The sequence below is a fragment of the Homo sapiens genome, chromosome 3 (assembly GCF_000001405.40).
Source record: "Homo sapiens chromosome 3, GRCh38.p14 Primary Assembly".
NCBI lineage: Eukaryota > Metazoa > Chordata > Mammalia > Primates > Hominidae > Homo > Homo sapiens.
Genome location: NC_000003.12, coordinates 3,991,353 through 4,013,100, shown reverse-complemented (window position 1 = coordinate 4,013,100; position 21,748 = coordinate 3,991,353). Strand labels below are relative to the sequence as shown.

Below are 21,748 nucleotides of genomic sequence, written 5' to 3'. Positions count from 1 at the left end.
CATCCTGAAACCATTTCCCCACCTCCCCTCCCCACCTCCATATGGGGAAAAATTGTCTTCTGCAAAACCAGTCCCTGGTGTCAAAAAGGTTGGGGACCATTGCTTTATCTGATCCACTGTTGATGGGAACCTAGGTTGAGTCCATGTCTTTACTATTGTGACTAGGGCTGTGATGAACATATAAATGCATGTGTCTTTTTGGTAGAACAATTTATTTTCTTTTGGATATGTAGCCAGTAATTGGATTGCTGGTTTGAATGTTTTAAATTTTAAGTTCTGTTCTAAGGTCTCTGATAAACCTCCAAACTGCTTTTCACATTGGCTGAAGTAATTTATATTCCCACCAACAATGTATAAGCATTCTCTTTTCTCCACAGCCTCACCAGCATCTGTTGTTTTATGATTTTTTAATAATAGCCATTCTGACTGGTGTAAGATGGTGCCTCTTTGTGGTTTCGGTTTGCATTTCTCTGATAATTAGTGATGTTGAGCGTTTTTTCATATGTTTGTTGGCCACTTGTATGTCTTCTTTTGAGATGTGTCTGTTCATGTCCTTTTCCCACTTTTTAATGATGTTATTATTATTATTTTTTTGCTTGTTGAATTAAGTTCCTTGTAGAGTCTGGATATTAGATCTTTGTCAGATACATATTATGGGAATATTTTCTCCCATTCTGTAGGTTGTCTATTTACTCTGTTGATAGTTTCTTTTGCTGTGTAGAAGCCCTTTAGTTTAATTAGGTCCCACTTGTTAATTTTCATTTTTATTACAATTGCTTTGAGGACTTAGTCAAATTCTTTCCCAAAGCTGATGTCCAAAATTGTATTTCCTAGGTTTTCCTCTAGGATTCTTTTATTTAAATCTTTAGGTCTTACACTTAAATCTTTAATCCATCTTGAGTTAATTTTTACATATGGTGAAAGGTAGGGGTCCAGTTTCATTCTTCTGCATATGGCTAGCCATTTATTCCAACACCTTTTATTGAATAGGGGGTCCTTTCCCTATTGCTTATTTTTGTTGCCTTTGTCGAAGATTAGATGGCTGTAGGTGTGCAGTATTATTTCTGGGTTATCTTATCTGTTCCATTGGTCTATGTGTCTGTTTTTGTACCAGTACCATGCCATTTTGGTTATTGTAGCCTTATGGTACAGTTTGAAGTTGGGTAATGTGACACCTCTGACTTTGTTCTTTTTGCTTAAGATTCCACAAATTTTTTAAAGTCCCTTTTTATATCAGTGTGCCTGCACATATGTGGGTGGAAAAAGGAAATGGAAATTATACTTCTTCAAAAATCTTTTCCTTTTAATGTGTTTCAGTTTCAGAGATGTGGATCGGGCTGTGGAGGATATCATAAAGAAATTCATTTGGTGTAGGGCTGTGGGGGACGGTCAAAGCATTGTTTTGAACCTATCACATGTTTAGCCTGAACTCTAAGATCTAAGAAGCATTACACCCAGCCCAGAAATGATTAAATATTTGTAATCCTGAATTTTCTACTCATTAGCTGTGAGATTTTGTACAAGTCCCTTTGCCTCTGTGGCCTCAATTTCCTGTCTAGTAAATTGTGTATGTTGGGGCTGGAGATGATTGTAGAATTTTTGACAGAACTTCTGACGGTAAGTGTATAAAAAAGACTCATTCCCTGGGGATCTATGATAGAAACTTATTCTATTATGTAATTCAGCTCTTCCAAGAGTCCACTTGTCTTTGGATTATAGCAGTTTGTGGGCCTCATTTTAGGCCATATTGCATAAGACAGGATTGAATGCCTGGTGTATTTATTTCCAGTTAGAATTATGAAATGTGAGTACTAGTAGGGACTTTGTGAGTCAGTAAATACAGCCACTCATTTTGTGTATGAAGACAGCTGAGGCTCAGATAGGAAAAACAGAGAGCTGGAACTCACAACTGAAGACTGGCTTGTAGGTCCAGTATTGTTTCTACTACACTGAGTAGTTTAAAATATCTTAAAATAATCTCTGATATAAGTAATATTAAAATTTGGAAAACATAGTGAAGAATTAGTCTCTTTATCTTCCTTTTCTAATAGGAATATCATTTTTCTAATTATAAAAACAGTACATACTCATTGTAACAAAATCCAAGCCATTCAGAAGTGCATAGGGAGAAAATGAAGGATTCACTACAATCCCAGTCTTCCATGAAAATCACTGTTAATTTGATTCACCATTTTTACGCTTTTCTCTTTCTCAAACATACATACAAAGTTAAAAATTAGTTCATATTACACATACTATTTGCGTCCTACTTCTTTTTCTTAGCAATATTTAATGGACACATGGGCAACAGATGGACATAGTTTCTTGTTAGTACTAACTTACTGTGTTTATTGTTAGAATCTTGTTAGTATCTAACTTAGTCTGCTTATTGGCTGGATGATAGTCCAGTGTGTTACTGTACTATACTTAAGCAATCGTCTCCTGATGGATATTTATATTGTTTTCAGTCTTTATCTTAGGCATTGCTGCAGTAAACATCTTTCGGCATACATCTTTCCATATTTATCTGTTTCCTCATAAGAAATTTCTGGAAACCACACTTCAAGTTAATCACAGTATTTAGTTGCAAAGATGGCATAAATAGAGCAATACAGTTAGCCAATTCCTGTGGAAGACAAAAAGGATATTTCAGACTAAGGGTGATTTTAGGTACAAGTCCACAGAATGCACAAAGCTTTCTTTGGTCAAGCTTTGTAATTTTATAATCACAGTTTTGCAGGATTAGCTCCGTGTGCTGAATTCCAGTTCAGTGGATTCCACAAATCCTTTCTAGCTGCTCTCTAAATCATTGCTTCCCTTGGCTAAAGGTCACTGTAAATGGATCTAAGGAGGTGAAAGACGCCTAGAGTTTAGTTTATTTCTTCCAGCTCACAATAGTTATTTTCTTTTCAGCTTTGTTCTGAGTTAATCAGTTATGGGAGGTACTACCAATTATGTGTTAAGGAGTCAGGCAAAGAGGAAAAATATCACTTTCTTACTGATAAATTGTTGTTTATGAGAAAATAAGCTGATGATGTCTCTGAACTGGCTTATTGCCCAGGGGGATTATGAGAAAGGGAAGAGCCCCCCGCATAGCTTGGATTTTCTATTCCCTTTAGTTGCTTGAACTTTGCATTCTCTGTGATCCCCTAAAATATAGCCATTCTTTCAGAAGGATTTCATAGCTTCCCCACCCTCCAAGCCCTATCTCAACTGATGTGGTCCATATCTATGATAAGGGATTATTGTTTCTTCTTCAGCATGAATCGAGAGACTCAGTGATCTGAGAGGGAGATTTCAGAAGTCACTTGATAGGTTAACTTCTTCTTTTTTTATTTGAGACAGAGTCTTGCTCTGTCACCCAGGCTGGAGAGCAGTGGTGTAATCTCGGCTCACTGCAGCCTCCGCCTCCTGGGTTCAAGAGATTCTCCCGCCTCAGCTTCCTGAGTAGGTGGGACTACAGGCATGCACCACCATGCCCAGCTAATTTTTGTATTTTTAGTAGAGACGGGGTTTCACCATGTTGGCCAGGATGGTCTCAATCTCCTGACCTTGTGATCCGCCTGCCTCAGCCTCCCAAAGTGCTGGGATTATGGGCGTGAGCCACCTTGCCTGGCGGGTAACTTCTTATCTTTGGAATTTCTCTGTCAACATCACTGTAAGGTCGTCTTCTTTGAGTGGCTCCTATTGGTCCTCAGAATAAAACTTACATTCCTGGTCTAGTGGTTAAAACCATCTCCAAAGAAGATATAGAAGACCTTTCCAATTGTATTTTCTAGCTCCCAAAAACATGCCCTGTACTCCAGTCAGCCTTCAACTTCTCCTCTCCATCTTGGCTTATGCCATTTTCTCTATCTGTTAATGTTATTCATATAGCTTAAATGCCATCACTGTCCCAATATCTTCCTTCGTAAACTACTCTGAACTCCTGTGGCATTTTAACTGCACTTTTTCTGTGACACATAGTTTTATATTCTATATTGGAATTTTCTACGCATCTACCTTATTTCTCCTTAGAACCTAAACTCTTTGAGAGCAAGATTGATATGACTGGCACTATTCTTTGTATTCCTCCAATATCCAGGACATTGCCTAATACTCCATAAGTATTTATTAGGGAGTTGAATGGATAAATGAACCCAGTCTTCAGTTGAATTACCCTGTGCCAAGGATGCTAGATGAGGAAAGCCATTCTGTTTTGGAGACAGCTTTAATTATCAGGCCATCTGAATCTCATTAACAGAAAACAGTGCTATATCCAGGGTGTCTAGAGCCACCTCCTTCTCACCTTGTTCCTAATTCATCACCTGAAAAACTGATCCTGTCAGATGAGTGGGAGAAAAGTGGGAAGTCCAGCCCTCCATAGACAATCAAAACGTCTGCCCAGCTCATACTCAGATGAGTTTCCCGATAGGTTAACATATATTAGTTCTCCACTTTTATAATTTTGTGCTAAAAAACAGTCCCATATTCCATGGCCTTGAAGTTATCTATTTTTAAATGCACTGCAACAAATCCAACAGTATCTCCCTTAACATCCTTCTTTTATAATCTTTACTTTGAGGGCAATTTAACTGAATTTATAACAGGTTTAACACATGTAACATATGTAACAGATGTCTCACAGGAGGAGACTCTATCTGTGTCAGCTTGGTCAGGGACCACTGTGTGAGGCTGTGTGGTGTATGACGTCTAGTGCAGGAATGCACCATGATGTGACCCTGGGAATACTGCCCTCTGGAGCTGTGCACTGTACAGTTGGATGGCTGCAACAATCTAATGTTCACGGACATGCACTTCCAGTTTGAAAACTCTGAATTTCTCCTGTATTAGTTTGTTGGGACTGGCATAACAAAGCACCACTGATTGCATCACAGTTTTGGAGGCTGAATGTCTGAGATCAAGGTGTTGTTGGTAGGCTTGGTTCCTTCTGAGGATTGTGAGGGAAGGATCTGTTCTAGGCCTTTCTCCTTGGCTCATAGGTGTCTGTCTTTTCTCTGATTCCTCTGTGTCTCTTTCTTGGTATTCATATTTCCTCTGTGCATAAGGACACCAGTCATATGGGATTAGAGCTCACACCAAATGAACCTATTTTAACTTTAATATTTCTATAAAGACCGTATCTCCAAATATGGTCACATTCTGGGGTACTAGAGGTTAGGGCTACAAAATATCTTTTTCAGGGAGGATGGAGGAAACACAAGTCAACCCATAACAGCCCCTAACAGATGAAAAAAAAAAACAAAAACAAAAACAAAAAAAACTAGATCTCTTCATGGGAAAGACCATGGGGTTCAGAATCAGAGAGAGGTCAATTTGAATCCCAGCTCTGCCTGTTCTGCTTGTACTCACAGCAGAAAGGAACATGTGGGCCTGCATTCCAAGCCACCTTAGATAGCGTCTTGGGCTAGACTGAAATTAAGAACGGAGCTATAGACAAGAAAGGATGATATGGTTTTAATCAGGACACTGAGCCACAATTTTTCATTATAGACTAGGCTGGGCATTACTCCAAACTCTCCTGATAATGGAACTGTGACAGCAAGGCTGATTTTCAGCACAATATATTGCAGGAAGTGTGTGTGTGTGTGTGTGTGTGTGTGTGTGTGTGTGTGTGTGTGTGTGTGTGTTAAGGGGACCTGGTATTGCCCAGATCAGTAAAAAAACGGGGTAGGATGGAACATCTAAATGAAGTTCTTTCCCATCTTTGAAGGGTTGGGGAAGATAGGGAACTGCACATTTATGAACTCTTTTGCAACAATCCTCCGAGACACAAAGACACCCCCTGTAGATGCTGCCTCTGCTACAAAAATTTATGCTGCCCTGCTTCGTCTCCCAGGCATCCTGCTCCCAGTAGTGTCTACATAGGTGGAGCCTTGCAGCTTTGAGGATATCCCATGCTGACTTTTATGCAGACATGACCAAGGCCTTTACCACAGGACCTCAAAATGCCTATAAATATAAATATAAACATAAATATAAGTAATACACACAGACACAGAAACACACACACACAGACATATACGTATATATTTACATGCTTACTCCAGAGTCCAGAGGTTCATATAATCTGAGAAAAAAGAAGAAATATCAGAAGTTGTAAATATGCATAAATGTGTACATAAAAATATAGACATTTGGACCTTCTTTTTCTATTTTGTCAACTTCCAAAAAGTTATCAAGAAGTATTATTCTTCCCTTCATAAATGTTATCAATGAGGTATTGTGGGGACCAGGACAAATAGCCAGAATGTGTAGAGCCGGAATTTATCTCAGCCCTAGAGGGCTGATATACAAATAACCAGAATGTATACAGCCAGAATGTATATCAGCCCTAGAGGCAAACTTACGAACGTATGCAGTAGCAGATGTGTGGTTTTCTTTTGTTTATCACATTCTAGGGTAGTACACAGCAATTCAGCATGACTGCAAGTCAGATTTCTGGGATAGATCCCCATCCTTGGGCTTTGGGGCTTTCAAGTTGAATTATTAGGGAAGCATCACCTCCTCCTTGCTATATTCAGAGATCAGCCAGGATACAACAGCAATATGAGCTGGCTCTAGCTCCATGCTGCTAACTCAGCATTTATGTCTGGGGTAGCACCAGCCTCTCCCCTGGAGTAATTAGCAGGCTGGAGTCCAACTCTTGTGGTTGCAGCTGTATAGTCTAGCAAGCTGTCGGCTGGATTTGCCACATCAGCATTCATAGCTAGAGAATCTGACATAACTGGGGGACTGGGATCCAGGACTTGCCATCATTGACCAGGATTAATGTCCTTAAGATTTAGGCCATTGCCAGTTTCGTTGGTACTTTGCAGAAAGCCCACTTGTTTCTTGGGAGGCCTGCTTCAAGGGACAAGTCTTAAATACTAACCCTTACCTCTTAAGGGAAATAGATAAGTGTAGAGCACAAAAATAGGTAGGTGTAGTCCCAGCTATTCAGGAGGCTGAGGAAGGAGGACTGATTGGTCCCAGGATTTCAAGGCTGTAGTGTGCTATGATTGCATTTGTGAATAGCCACTGCACTCCAGCTTGGGAAACAGCAAAATCTGTCTCTTAAAAAAAAAAAAGTAGGCAGCAAGGGAGTTGGCCTTTAAGTAAAGATTCAACATATTTGCCCTCCTGTCTGATCCTCTAGTCTTACCTACCACAGAGTCAATATTTGAATACAGATGTTTTTTATTCCAAATTCACTGATTTTTGCAACATCATTTAGCTCCTCACCTGTTTTTCTTTGGAATGGTTGTAGAGCCTGTGGGAGGTGGGCATAGTATGGATTAATCTTTTTTTGGCAATAGCAGCTATGTCCAAATAATTCCCCAAATAAAAATAAGATTTACTTCAGGGTCCAGAAGTTACCTTCTCTTCTCTGTTGGTTGTGGAGAAATCTTAAAGACATATCAACACTGTATTCATTTTTCTGCACAGTAAGACTTCAATTTATCACTTATTTCAGTTCTTTCTTTTGGGAGAATCAATCATTTAAGTAAATTATGAATTAAAAATTATACATGTTTCAGGCCACACATCTTGTGGATTTCCAGTTTTATTGCTCTTATCGATTGGTGTTTTGCTTTCTGCCAGTCCTGGATAGCCATGCACTATTCAACCAAACCATTTGCTGCAAGTGAAAATAACTACATTTGCAGCTCCGAGAGTTACAAAATGGAGGCCAAATTAAATTGCACATTAGATGCTATTCTTGAAATTGAAATGTTTATATGACTGACAAATATGTGAATTGTACGAGAAGATGTCCAAAGCCATACTCTTGGTTGAAACACACCATTTTTGATCCATACGGAGTGAAAGACTCCTCCAGAAGTCTTGTGATTGCGCTGAAGCCAATTTCCACTATTTTTGCCCAGGACACAGACTTGTGGGTAAAACTACCTTGGCAACATAGTTTAAGAAAAGCTAGTCTTTAATTCACACTATTCCCTTGTTTTGAGTTTCTTTTCCTATAATCTTTCCTATTAAATCTCTACTACTAAAAAATTAGTAACTAGTAGCTAGTAAGCACTTGTTATGGGCCAAGCATGGTACTAAGAGACCTACATACACACGCTTATTCATTTTTTGGTTTGTTTTTGCATTGTTTGTGCTGCTCTAGGCAGGCTGTGAATGAGAAAGAAATAGTCTCATTGGTCTGATTTCTCTAGTACTTACATTCTAATAAGGGAGATAAGAAAATAAGGTAATTTCAGAGAGTAGTAAGTGTCATGGAGAATGTTAAATAGGGTAATGGGAGTGGAAGGGGCAATTTTAAAGGAGGTGACCCCAGAAGGCTCTTCTGAAGCTATGGGAAGGAGCCAGCTCTGCGAAGATCCATCAGCAGACCTGCAGGAGGAGAGATTTTCAAGGCCCAAAGCCTGAGGCAGGAGTGAGCATAACAATGTCATGAAGTTGGTAGGTCCATTTGTGTGACATGGCCAAGATGCATAACTTGTCTGAACCCCAGTTTCCATATCTTGCAAAGGCAGATTCATTAGCTCATTCATAAAATTTCTCTTGAGCACTTACTATATGTCAGGCACTGCTGAGACTCCTCTGGGGATAAATAAAAATAAACAGTCACTGCCTACTATCCTGAGAGAGAATAAATGTTTACATTCTAGTGGAGGAATGGGGAGACAAGCAACCAACAAATACAAATAAAGAAAGATTGGTAATGGTAAGTGCCTTGAAGAAAAATAAACCAGAGTAAGGAGAAGAGAGTGGAGCTGAGAGGTGGGTTATTAGGGGGATCAAGGAGAGCCTTTCTGTGGAAGCAACATTTGAGTAGAAGGAAGAGAGAGAGAAGCAGGCCATATGGACATCTGGAGGGAGTTGGGGGACATTTGAGCTGGAGAGAACAGCAAGTGCCCTGAGGTTAAAGAGAGACTGATACATTCAAGGCATAGTAAAGGGGTCAGTGTGGTAGGATGTATGCCACAGAGGAAGGCAGGAACCATATCATGCAAGACTAGGTCATTCTAAGGGTGATGAAGGTTAGCAGGAGGAATATGATGGGAGTAATGATATCGACAACCAGGTGTTGGAAGAATTAAGAGATAAGGCAATATAACTAACACAGTCCCTGACATACAAAGCCTGCCTCCTCCCTCCCTCCCTCCCTCCCCTCCCCTCCCTTCCTCGCTCCTTCCTTCCTTCTTGCCTCCCTCCCTCCTTCCTTCTCTCCCTCCCACCACAGCTTTTCCTCAATGTCTCCCTCCCTGTTCACTTTCTTCCCCTTTCTTTGTACATCTGCACTGCTCAAATATAATCTCTGAAGAAGATGTCTAACTTGCTGTTGTCTGTTTACTTACCACTTTCGTGCCAAACTATAAGTTCTTGGAGGACAGGAAAGTTGTCTTTTATTTCTGTATAATAGCCACATTGCCCCCAGTACCTTGCAAAATTTGTTGAATCTGCTTTCCAAAATTTTGCTCCATGGGGAATGGAAATGATTTCCGGGAGTTAAGATGTATGAATGGATTAGCACGACCTCCTTGTTTGGACTGGAGAACCCTGAGTTGGTCATGACAACTACACTGGGAAAGCTGCAGTAATATGGTTGTTCCCATAAGAGCTCTCTAGTTTGCTATTAGCTTGGAGCCTGGTGCTAAATCTAGTGGGATTTGGGCAAGTCCCTTAATTTTTCTGAAGTTCAATTTTCTCATGTGTACAATTGAAATAATAATCTAAAGGATTACTGGGGGATTGAATGAAATAATATCCACCAAGCTGTAAGCACGGTGGACAGCTCTGAGTGACTGATAAATACTGTCTAGTATCGAAGGTGTTGTCCCAATTTCCTTCTCTTCCCCCATAATCATCAAACCAACTTTGGAAGCTATGGAAAAGCATGGGGAGCCTTTCCTCTACTGAAGTGGTAAATTCTACTCTTAGTGATAATTATAATATGAGCCTGGTGCTGGGAACAAAGTTGAATCACTTAACACCAACTCCTCCTGTTGGACCTTGCCTACCTACCTGTGCCTGATTTAATTTAGCTGTTTGAAAGCAAAGAACTTGTTTTATTTTTCTGTATGGTAAAGAGGATAATAACTTACCTAAGGTCACACATATAAATAGCAGAGGAGGCTTTGAGTAAAGATGTGGCTCATTCTGAAGTTCATGGGAACGGAAGAAAGCATGCTCTCCTAAGAGGCAAGAAACAAAATGTAGGCACTCTACTACTTACCTTGTCACCTTGGGAAAATACATTTATCCTCTTTCAGGGAAAGGACTACCTTTCTGATTCCCAGGCCAATGCCCTTTCTGTTGACCTTCTTGGGTTTCATTTTTCACATGTACAAAGATGTTGGCATAGCCTGACCCTGTCCTGCATTTTCACACCTACATGGTGATATACATGCCCCAGGCCCTTATTAGTGACCTGATTCTGTAAAGTGAGCTTTCTATTGAGAGATCCATGTGATTATTCCTAGGCACCGATCGCCACCAGTACTTGATAGAGTCACTCAATATTGCAAAGCAGTAAATAGAACAACTTTGTGTGTGTAGTTCAGCAGAGGAGATAACCTTACATTTCAGATTCTTTGCTTTTGTTCTCCCAGTCCTTCTCTAAACACCCTTCCCCCAGCCTTGCTTTTTCTCTTTCATCAGGTGCCTTCTGCTTTTAGTCCCATCTGTTCCTCCTTTTCCTCATTTTCTCTCCAATTGGGACCTGGAAGATATGAAAACATACATCTGAAATACAAGATTTGTTGCCTGGGAGAGATCAGAGGATTGTTTTTTTCTTTTCTTTTTTTTTCTTTAACAGCATGATCAAATCTTAGTTCTTTGCTGAAAACTTTTCCAGACAGGGTAGTTTCTTTGCTAATTAAAAGGTTGGATAATGAGCATTTAGTGTTCTGGTGATTAAGACCTCCTCAGCCTCACAGGTCAGTGCCACCTGAATTAATTGGCACCTTCTCAGTTGGGGTTCAGTTCTCACATTTTATCCTACCAAGAATGGCATTCAGAGCTCTCTGTAATCCACCCTCATGCAGTTTTCCCAGCCCTTCCTCCCTTTACTACACCACTCTCTGTTGATGTAGTGATTTAACCTCTGTCACCCTCTTGCTATGTGATTTGCTTCCTTGCCACTATATTCCCTATTTCCCTCTGACTGAAATGGTTTAGTTATGATTGTAGACTTAGGAGACAGTATGTATTGGAATCATTGGAACTAGCCCTGTCACACTAGTTGTTTAACACCTCAGCCTTTTTTTTTTTTTTTTTTTTTTTTTTTTTGTGACAAAGTTTTGCTCTTGTTGCGCAGGCTGGAGTACAATGGTGTGATCTCAGCTCATCGTAATCCTTGCCTCACGGGTTCAAGCAATTCTCCTGCCTCATCCTCCCAAGTAGCTGGGATTACAGGCATGCGCCACCATGCCAGGCTAATTTTGTATTTTTAGTAGAGACGGGGTTTCTCCATGTTGGTCAGGCTGGTCTCGAATTCCCAACCTCAGGAGATCCGCTCATCTCGGCCTCCCAAAATGCTGGGATTACAGGCATGAGCCACCACGCCTGGCCTAATCTCATCGATCTAACCTATAAAAAAGAGAATAATAACTTACTCACCTCATTGGATAGTTATGAAGATAAGATAGAGTATAAAGGGTTTGGCAGAGCGTCTGTCCTATGGTAAATGCTCGCTAACTGGTTAGCTACTATAATTTTCTATTTGTATCTATTCAAATCTCACTGCTTCTGCAAGTCTCCTAACAAAAAGTTTTGCCAAAATTTATTTTGCCATTGAAAGTAATGGCAAAAGCCACAATTTTGCACAAACCAAGAAGCCTTCTCTGCTTATCTTCCAGTCCAAGATTATCTCCTCTTCCTAGTATTCTTATTTTGTGACTTTTATAGAATCACTTGGTTGGTCTGGGTTTATGTTTAAAGTTCCTGACTACAGGTGAAATACTCTTGGAGAAAGAGACCTAAACTTCTAGCGTAACGCTGAGACACATCTTCATAGAATAGAATTGTTATTTTATGTCCCCAATTAAAGGGATTTTATTTTTGTGGATGTTTTCTTGGGTTGAGTGTTCTACTGATTTATTGAATGGTCTACTGATTTCTCATTATGTGAAAACTCCAGAGTCCTAGGTGTGTTTCTTCCAAGAGCCTAATTAATTCAGGCTGCTAAGGCTGCCACATGGACTCTGGTTTAAAGACTAGGCTATTTGGTGAGCAATTCTAAGTCCTATTTTGGAACACTAAGGTCATATACCTTTGGAATGCCAAATTACAAGATGCTTTGAAGGAACTTTTAGGGTAAATCACAATCTCATCCGTGTGCATCTGCAGTTAAGGTTTATAAAGAGAAGTTTGGTTCCTGATTTTCAGTAGCAGTATCATTAGTTTTTTAAAAACTACAGGAAATTTTACATGTATTTTGCCTCACAAATACCAACAATTAGGTCAGAATTCAGAAAAGTGGATTCTGTTTGCATAGAATTACATTAATTCTGCATTCTCTCATAGCAAAGTTGAAAGAGAGGATTAATCACTTATTCATGCAAAACCAATTCACATGAATCATTTATTTATCTTGTTCTGGTAATTTTGCAGAGCTCATTTTTACATGCCTCAGGTTGCAGATAAAGTGAAAACTCAGAGGGTGATTTACCCTCCACAATAAAGACCTGATGGCCGTGTAAACAGCATGCTTCCTATAGGAAATCAATAGGTAACCATGGAAATGACTCCACAATGGGAAATTCTATTTCTTTATGAACAAATCATCAAAAAGATCAATTGTAAGATGAAAAGGCTTTGCCTGTGCCCTATCTTTCGCAAAGGCTTTTGGTCTATGTAAAGAAGAAAATATGTGCCTTGGTGACAGTAAAGAATTATCTTAAAGCTGTATTGAGAATGAACATCACTTGTTACTTTATAAAGTTTGGGCTGAAATGTCTTGTCCTCCATTCCTGGAGGCCTAGCTAAGAAACTTATATCTAATGGCAAGAAGAATGTTCCAGAATACAGGATGCTTGAATTCTTGATCCAGCTTAATTTCTTTCTTTTTTTTAGGAAAAAAACAAGACAAAACAAAAAAACAAGGGTAATAATATCCAACGCCAAAGAGCCTTTGATAATTAAATAAGATAATAGTTGGTAAAGAATATAGTACAGTGCCCAGCACAGAGCAAGTGGAAAATGCTATTAACAGCCACTTGTACAGTGATGATAATTGCCCAAACAATATTAATCCCACTAGTAAAGGGTTTTCACATTACAGGTATTTTTTTTAAAACTTTCATCTTAGGTTCGGGGTACATGTGAAGGTTTGTTACATAGGTAAAGTCATGTTATGGGGGTTTATTATACAGATTATTTCATCACCCAGGAATTAAACCCAGTACCCAATAATTATCTTTTCTGCTCCTCTCCCTCCTCCCACCTTTCCCACTCAACTAGACCCCAGTGTCTGATGTTTCCTTCTTTGTGTTCATAAGTTCTTATCATTTAGCTCCCACTTATAAGTGAGAATATGCAGTATTTGGTTTTTTGTTCCTGCATTCATTTGCTGAGGATAATAGCCTCCAGCTCCATCCATGTTCCTGCAAAAGACAAGATTTCATTTTTTATGGCTGTATAGTATTCCATGGTGTATATGTACCACAATTTCTTTATCCAATCTGTCACTGATGGGCATTTAGATTGATTTCATGTCTTTGCTATTGTGAACAGTGCCACAGTGAACATTTGTGTGCATGTGTCTATATGGTAGAGTGCTTTATATCCCTCTGGGTATATACCCAGTAATAGGATTGACCCAGGCTAATTTCCAGCAGCAATGAGATCTTTTTTTTTTTTTTTTTTTCTTTTTGGGATGGAGTCTCGCTCTGTCGCCCAGGCCGGACTGCGGACTGCAGTGGCGCAATCTCGGCTCACTGCAAGCTCCGCTTCCCGGGTTCACGCCATTCTCCTGCCTCAGCCTCCCCAGTAGCTGGGACTACAGGCGCCCGCCACCGCGCCCGGCTAATTTTTTGTATTTTTAGTAGAGACGGGGTTTCACCTTGTTAGCCAGGATGGTCTCGATCTCCTGACCTCATGATCCACCCGCCTCGGCCTCCCAAAGTGCTGGGATTACAGGCGTGAGCCACCGCGCCTGGCCAGCAATGAGATCTTTAACAAGCAATTTCGTCTCAGTGGGCCTTGATTTCCTTATCTGTAAAGTGATCAGACGAGCCTAGGGATGGCAGTCTAATTTAGCCCATGGACAGATGGATGTTGCACGTATAGCATTATCTCACTTTCTCTTACTTGGAAGACATTACTAATCAATTGTAATCTTCTTTGTCACTGAGCTTGAACAGAGTCTCAAAATCCTTATTTACACATTTCTCCAGGCAGCTGCTGCCTATGGATCAGAGTTGTCATATGTAAAACATCCATTTACCTCTATGTGACCTTTAAGTTTTATTTAGCCCTGACATTACAAGAATCTGAAAACAAGCTTTAAGTACTGAATATTCATGTCTATTCAGCTAGTCTTAAGCAGACAATCCAACTAACAAGGATAGCACCAACAATAAACAATTATGATATTGTCTTTATTAAGCCAAATAAACTGTTTGATCTCATTAATGTCAAAATATTTATTTCAATGCTAAAGTTACTACTGAACCACTGACTGATAATAATGAAATGGTGTTTGTAGCACTCTGCTGCTGTTCACTTATCAGCTTAAGACACACAAGTAGCAAATCTGATTGCCGTTTTCATGCTTGCTCTTTTTTCAACAGTAGAGGGCAGCACAGCTATTTTTAAGTGTCGTCTTTGCGAGCCATTTGTGTGTGCCCACAGGCATTCTATACAATGGGTGCAAAGATGTGAGCTGTGGTGGGTTGCCATAGAAGAGTATGTTCACATGACAAAATAGCCTGCTTAATCAGATCTCTTGGATTGTGGTGTGGAATTTTCCTCTTTAGGCTTTCAGAAATTACCATTACCCTGTTAGTATTTACATGTTTCAGCATTTCATATTGATCCTTTTAATTTTGTTCTTTCTGTTGTTCTTTTCTTCCTGTTGTTACTTGTCTCACTTTAGAGGCAGTGTTATGTAGGTGAAAATATCACAGCTTTTGGCTTCTGAAGGTGTAGACTCTAATCCCAGCTCTCTTGCTAGCTCTGTGACTGAGCTGATCAGAATCTCAGAGCCTCAAGATTCTTTTTTAAAACAGATACAGAAATACACAATTGAGAGTTTTTAGCATGAAGTGGTGTTGAATTTTATCGAAGGCCTTTTCTATATCTATTGAGATGTGGTTTTTGTCATTGATTCTGTTTATGTGACGGATTGCATCCCAGGGATGAAGCCGACTTGACTGTGGTGGAGAAGCTTTTTGATGTGCTGCTGGATTCGGTTTGCCAGCATTTTATTGAGTATTTTCACATCAACGTTCATCAGGGATATTGGCCTAAAATTCTCTTTTTTTGTTTTGTCTCTGCTAGGTTTTGGTATCAGGATGATGCTGACCTCATAAAATGAGTTAAGGAGGAGTCCCTCTTACTCTATTCTTCGGAATAGTTTCAGAAGGAACGGTACCAGCTCCTCTTTGTACCTCTAGTAGAATCTGGCTGTGAATCTGTCTGGTCAGGCTTTTTTTGGTTGGTAGGCTATTAATTATTGCCTCAATTTCAGAACTTGTTATTGTTCTATTCAGGGATTTGACTTCTTCCTGGTTTAGTATTGGGAGGGTGTATGTGTCCAGGAATTTATCCATTTCTTCTAGATTTTCTAGTTTATTTGTGTAGAGGTGTTAATAGTATTCTCTGATGGTAGTTTGCATTTCTGTGGGATCAGTGGTGATATCCCCTTTATCATTTTTTATTGTGTCTATTCAATTCTTCTCTCTTTTCTTCTTTATTAGTCTGGCTAGCCATCTATCTATTTTGTTAATCTTTTCAAAAAGCCAGCTGCTGGATTCATTGATTTTTTGAAGGTTTTTTTTTTTTGTGTGTATCTCTATCTCCTTCAGTTCTACTCTGATGTTAGTTATTTCTTGTCTTCTGCTAGCTTTTGAATTTGTTTGCCCTTGCTTTTGTAGTTCTTTTAATTGTGATGTTAGGGTGTCGATTTTAGATCTTCCCTGCTTTCTCCTGTGGGCATTTAGTGCTATAAATTTCCCTCTAAACACTGCTTTAGCTGTGTCCCAGAGATTCTGGTATGTTGTGTCTTTGTTCTCATTGGTTTCAAATAACTTATTTATTTCTACTTTAATTTTGTTATTTATCCAGTAGTCATTCAGGAGCAGGTTGTTCAGTTTCCATGTAGTTGTGTGGTTTTGAGTGAGTTTCTTAATCCTGAGTTCTAATTTGATTGTTGCATTGTGGTCTGAGAGACTGTTTGTTATGAATTCCGTTCTTTTGCATTTGCTGAGGAATGTTTTACTTCCAATTATGAGGTCAATTTTAGAATAAGTGCAAAATGGTGCTGAGAAGAATGTATATTCTGTTGATTTGGGGTGGAGAGTTCTGTAGATGTCTATAAGGTCTGCTTGGTCCTGAACAGAGTTCAAATCCTGAATATCCTTGTACATTTTCTGTCTCATTGATCTGTCTAATGTTGACAGTGTGATGTTAAAGGTATTGATGGAACGTATCTCAAAGTAATAAAAGCTATTTATGAAAAACCCAAAGCCAATATCACACTGAATGGGCAAAAGCTGGAAGCATTCCCTTTGAAAACCGGCATGAGACAAGGATGCCCTCTCTCACCACTCCTATTCAACATAGTATTGGAAGTTCTGGCCAGGGCAATCAGGCAAGAGAAGGAAAGGGTATTCATATAGGAAGAGAAGAAGTCAAATTGCCTCTGTTTGCAGATGACATGATTGTATATTTAGAAAACCCCATCATCTCGGCCTCAAATCTCCTTAAGCTGATAAGCAACTTCAGCAAAGTCTCAAGATGCAAAATCAATGTGCAAAATCACAAGCATTCCTATATACAAATAATAGACAAAAAGGAAGCCAAATCATGAGTGAACTCCCATTTACAATTGCTACAAAAAGAATAAAATACCTAGGAATACAACTTACAAGGGATGTGAAGGACCTCTTCAAGGAGAACTACAAACCACTGCTCAAGGAAATAAGAGAGGATACAAACAAATGGAAAAACATTCCATGCTCATGGATAGGAAGAATCAATATTGTGAAAATGGCCATACTGCCCAAAGTAATTTATAGATTCAGTGCTATCCCTATCAAGCTACCATTGACTTTACTCACAGAATTATAAAAAAACTACTTTAAATTTCACATGGAACCAAAACAGAGCTCCTATAGCCAAACAATCCTAAGCAAAAGGAACAAAGCTGAAGGCATCACGCTTTCTGGCTTCAAACTATACTACAAGACTACAGTAACCAAAACAGCATGGTACTGATACCAAAACAGATTTATAGGCTGATGGAACAGAACAGAGGCCTCAGAAATAACACCGCACATCTACAACCATCTGATCTTTGATAAACCTGACAAAACAAGCAATGAGGAAAGGAATCCCTATTTAATAAATGGTGTTGGGAAAACTGGTTAGCCATATGCAGAAAACTGAAACTGGACCCCTTCCTTACACCTTATACAAAAATTAGCTCAAGATGGATTAAAGACTTAAATGTAACACATAAAACCATAAAAACTCTAGAAGAAAACCTAGGCAATACCATTCAGGACATAGGCATTCGCAAAGACTTCATGACTAAAACACCAAAAGCAATGGCAACAAAAGCCATAATTGATAAATGGGATCTAATTAAACTAAAGAGCTTCTGCACAGCAAAAGAAAATATCATCAGAGTGAACAGGCAACCTACAGAATGGTGGAAGCAATCTATCCATCTGACAAAGGGCTAATATCCAGAATCTACAAGGAACTTAAAGAAATTTACAAGAAAAAAACAACCCCATCAAAAAGTGGGTGAAGGATATGAACAGACACTTCTCAAAAGAAGACATTTATGTGGCCAACAAATACATGAAAAAAAGCTCATCATCACTGGTCATTAGAGAAATGCAAATCAAAACCATAATGAGATACCATCTCATGCCAGTTGCAATGGTGATCATTAAAAAGTCAGGAAACAACAGATACTGGAGAGGATGTAGAGAAATAGGAGCACTTTTACACTGTTGGTGGGAGTGTCAATTAGTTCAACCATTGTGGAGGACAATGTGGCAATTCCTCAAGGATCTAGAACCAGAAATACCATTTGACCCAGCAATCCCATTACTGGGAATATACCCAAAGGCTTATAAATCATTCTACTGTAAAGACACATGCACATGTATGTTTACTGCAGCACTGTTCACAATAGCAAAGACTTGGAACCAACCCAAATGCCCATCAATGATAGACTGGATAAAGAAAATGTGGCATTATATATACCATGGAATACTATGCAGCCATGAAAAAGGATGAGTTCATGTCCTTTGCAGGGACATGGATGAAGCTGGAAACCATCATTCGCAGCAAACTAACACAGGAACAGAAAACCAAACACCACAAGTTCTCACTCATAAGTGGGAGCTGAACTATGAGAACACATGGATACAGGGAAGGGAACATTACACACTGGGGCCTGTCGGGGGTTGGGGGCTAGGGGAGGGATAGCATTAGCAGAAGTACCTAATGAAAATGATGGGTTGATGGGTGCAGCAAACCACCATGGCACGTGTGTACCTATGTAACAAACCTGCACGTTCTGCACATGTATCCCAGAACTTAAAGTATAATTTAAAAAAAAGAAATGCACAGTCTTCTCTGTCATCTCATCGTGTTGTTGTGAATATCAAATGAAATCAATATATGTGAAAGCATTATTGAAATATAGGTTTTAAAAGTAATAGCCAATCTCTTTATGCTATTATTGCTAAGAGTCATGCTTTTAATTCAAATGAATTACACAAATAATTTTTAGGTTTTATTTTTGAATTGTAGGATGGCATCTGCCAATGGATAGATTTGACTGCAAGGCATCCTGAGACATCCTTGGCCTGGAGGATGCCTTGTTGGGAGCTGAAGTGCAGGAACTGATGCAGCTGTAAGGGCGAAGCCATGAAAGGGTATGGCTGGTATCTACAGGGTTTATTGAGAATATTCACTTTATTCTCAATAAATACTAATACTGAGCTTAAACCTATCAGACCTAATATCCCCTCTTCCCAACAGACATTTTGTAGTGCCCTTCTTACTCTCACAGATAATATAACTTGTAGGTAATACAATATCTCTACATACTTAATTTCATATAGAAAATAAATTAATATAATGCCCTAATTTTTATATAAAGGTTTAAAAGTGTAAAATAATTAAAAGTAACATAATATGTAGTTAATACCTAAGGGCTTGAGCTTGGTTACACTAAAAGACATAATAAAGTAGTCAGATGCTTGTAGCTACATGAAGAATGGAAACTGCAAATGCAGACCGTTACAGGAGCTTTGTACTTGTCACTCAAGTAGCAAGAATGTCATTATAGTGTTGGTGAAGTGATTTTCAGGGTGGTGAACAATTTTTGGTAAAGTTTCCTCCCCATGATTTACAGGCTAGAGACTGTCCTGGAAAATTAGTTGCATATTAAAACTTGCTGCAAAAAGTACTTTGAGATTATGTGTGAAACAGTTAGCTTCTAGGCTCAGATACTAACAGAGAGGTTTTCCATCTGTGTGAGTGTTCGAGAACACAGTACAACTAATCCTTGGGTGGATTACACAGTGCATTCATTGTGGGATGTCTATTTTCTCTGGCCCCCACACTCTAAATGCCAGTAAACATGGGGTGATGCTGTAGAAGGAGGCAGATGTTACTGTTATGACAACCAAATATATCATCAAGAGTTTCTGAAACATTCTACTGGGGCAGAACCATCCCATCTGAGAATCAATGATCTAAGGCAGGAGTCCATATAGCAGCTTGGGCATGTCAATAGTAAAGAAATGTCACCCAGCCACTGACTGGATGTATAGGGAATGGAAACCAGCCCTGAAGTGTGCAGGTGGCAATGGCTGGCCAGAGTATCAGAGCTCAACCAAACAGGCTAGGGTTCCCGTGAGAGCTCTAGTGGAGAACAGGAACCCCAGACAGAAGTCAGTTGAATGGATTAGACTCAGGGCTGGCAGCAGGTGGAATTAAAGGGAACACTGCAGTGTAACAGATATGCAGTTGCCCTGGGCTTATAACCCACTGAAGCCCGCGGTAATGGCCGCAAGATTAATTCCAGACTCTCAAATACTTCTGGTGCTAAGCCTAGTGATCTTGATCAGCCTTGGTCCAGACTTGCTCAGGAACTTCAGAGGGCTATGGTCCTAGACCTAAGGCATTGTGGAGTCTCACCCTGAAGACTTCGGGAGAAGGCATGCGCTGAAAACTATGGACCTAGACACATTGGAAGAAAGTTACCAAAAAAACCATGTGTTGGCTCAGTATTTGGAAGCTCTTAAAATGAAATGATCTGCCTTGTAAAATGGTGACCTACTGAGGAGTAATAATCTTTTATGTTTACAAAGGGATTTCATGTCTGCTACCAAGTTTCGTGTACATTATCTTAAATCAATCATGCCTTCTCTTGCCCAGCAGTCTCATATTGTTCTGGATCATTTATTGCTAGCCATCTAGTGAGTTTATTTACACTGCGGTAGTAGGTTCTTCACATATTATCTTCTAGAGTCATTAGTGTTTAGAAGAAAAGGCCAATGCTTATCTCAGTAGTCTGGACTGGATTTTCGTATTGCTGTGCTTCAGAATCCCCTGGAGAGATTATATATATATATCTCAATGCCCAGGGCCTACCTCAGGCTATTTAGATTCAGAAGATATGATTGTGGAATATGTATTTTTTTAAAGTCCCACAAGTGATCCTTTGTGTAATTCAGGTTAAGAACAACTTTCTTATACATAGATTTTTTTTCATCCATGTTAGAATATAAATGTCTTCAGTGAGGAATTCAGTTAACATGCTCTGTAACACTAGATCAGTGCCAGACACAAAGTTCTTCCTTGATAAATGTTTGTTGAATCTTTGGTTAATATGAAATTTTAGGCACTGTGGCTCGTGTTTATGTGCAGCATGTTGGAGCAGTGTGAGGCTTTTCTAACACTTCTCAATTTTTTACCTTACAGGCAATGGTTTGCTTCCAGCAGATTTAAGTCTGATCGTAATCCTACCTCCTTCATGAGTTAATCATATCCCTCCCTCCCTCCTTCTCTCCCTCCTTCCCTCCGTCCTTCTCTCTCTTCCTTCCCTCCTTCCTTCCTTCTCTTCTTCCCTCTCTCCCTCCCTCCCTCCGTCCCTCCCATCCATGCATCCATCCATGCATCCATCCATGCATCCATCCATGTATCCATCCATCCATCCATGCATCCATCCATCTGTCCATCCATTCACATCCATCCATCAGTCTGTCTGTTATGGACTGAACTGTGTCTCTCATCAAATTCATATTTTGAAGCCTTAACCCCAAGGTGATAGTATTTGGAGTTAGGACCTTTAAGGAGATAATTAAGGTTAAATGAGCTTAGAAGGGTGGGGCCATAATCTGATACCTTATACAAACAGGAAGAGACACCAGAGAGCTCATTTCATTCTTTCTCTGTGAGTGCACAGAGAAAAAGTCATGTGAGCATTCAACAAGAAGGCAGTGACCTGCAAGCCAGGAAGAGAGGCCTTGCTACATACTAACCCTGATGACACCTTCGTCTTGGACTTTCAGCTAGCAAAAGTATGAAAAAATAAATTTCTATT

At 39.5% G+C, this 21,748-nt stretch overlaps 1 long non-coding RNA gene across 1 annotated transcript in view; it reads right to left on the bottom strand.

Annotated features, from left to right (window-relative positions):
- Nucleotides 1-6,982, bottom strand: part of LOC102723512 (uncharacterized) — a 40,652-nt gene extending 33,670 nt beyond the window's left edge. Inside the window, exon 1 of the long non-coding RNA XR_007095788.1 lies at nucleotides 6,038-6,982. This is a non-coding gene — a long non-coding RNA (uncharacterized LOC102723512). The remainder of the gene's footprint in view (nucleotides 1-6,037) is intronic.
- Between the last annotated feature and the right edge of the window lie 14,766 nt (nucleotides 6,983-21,748).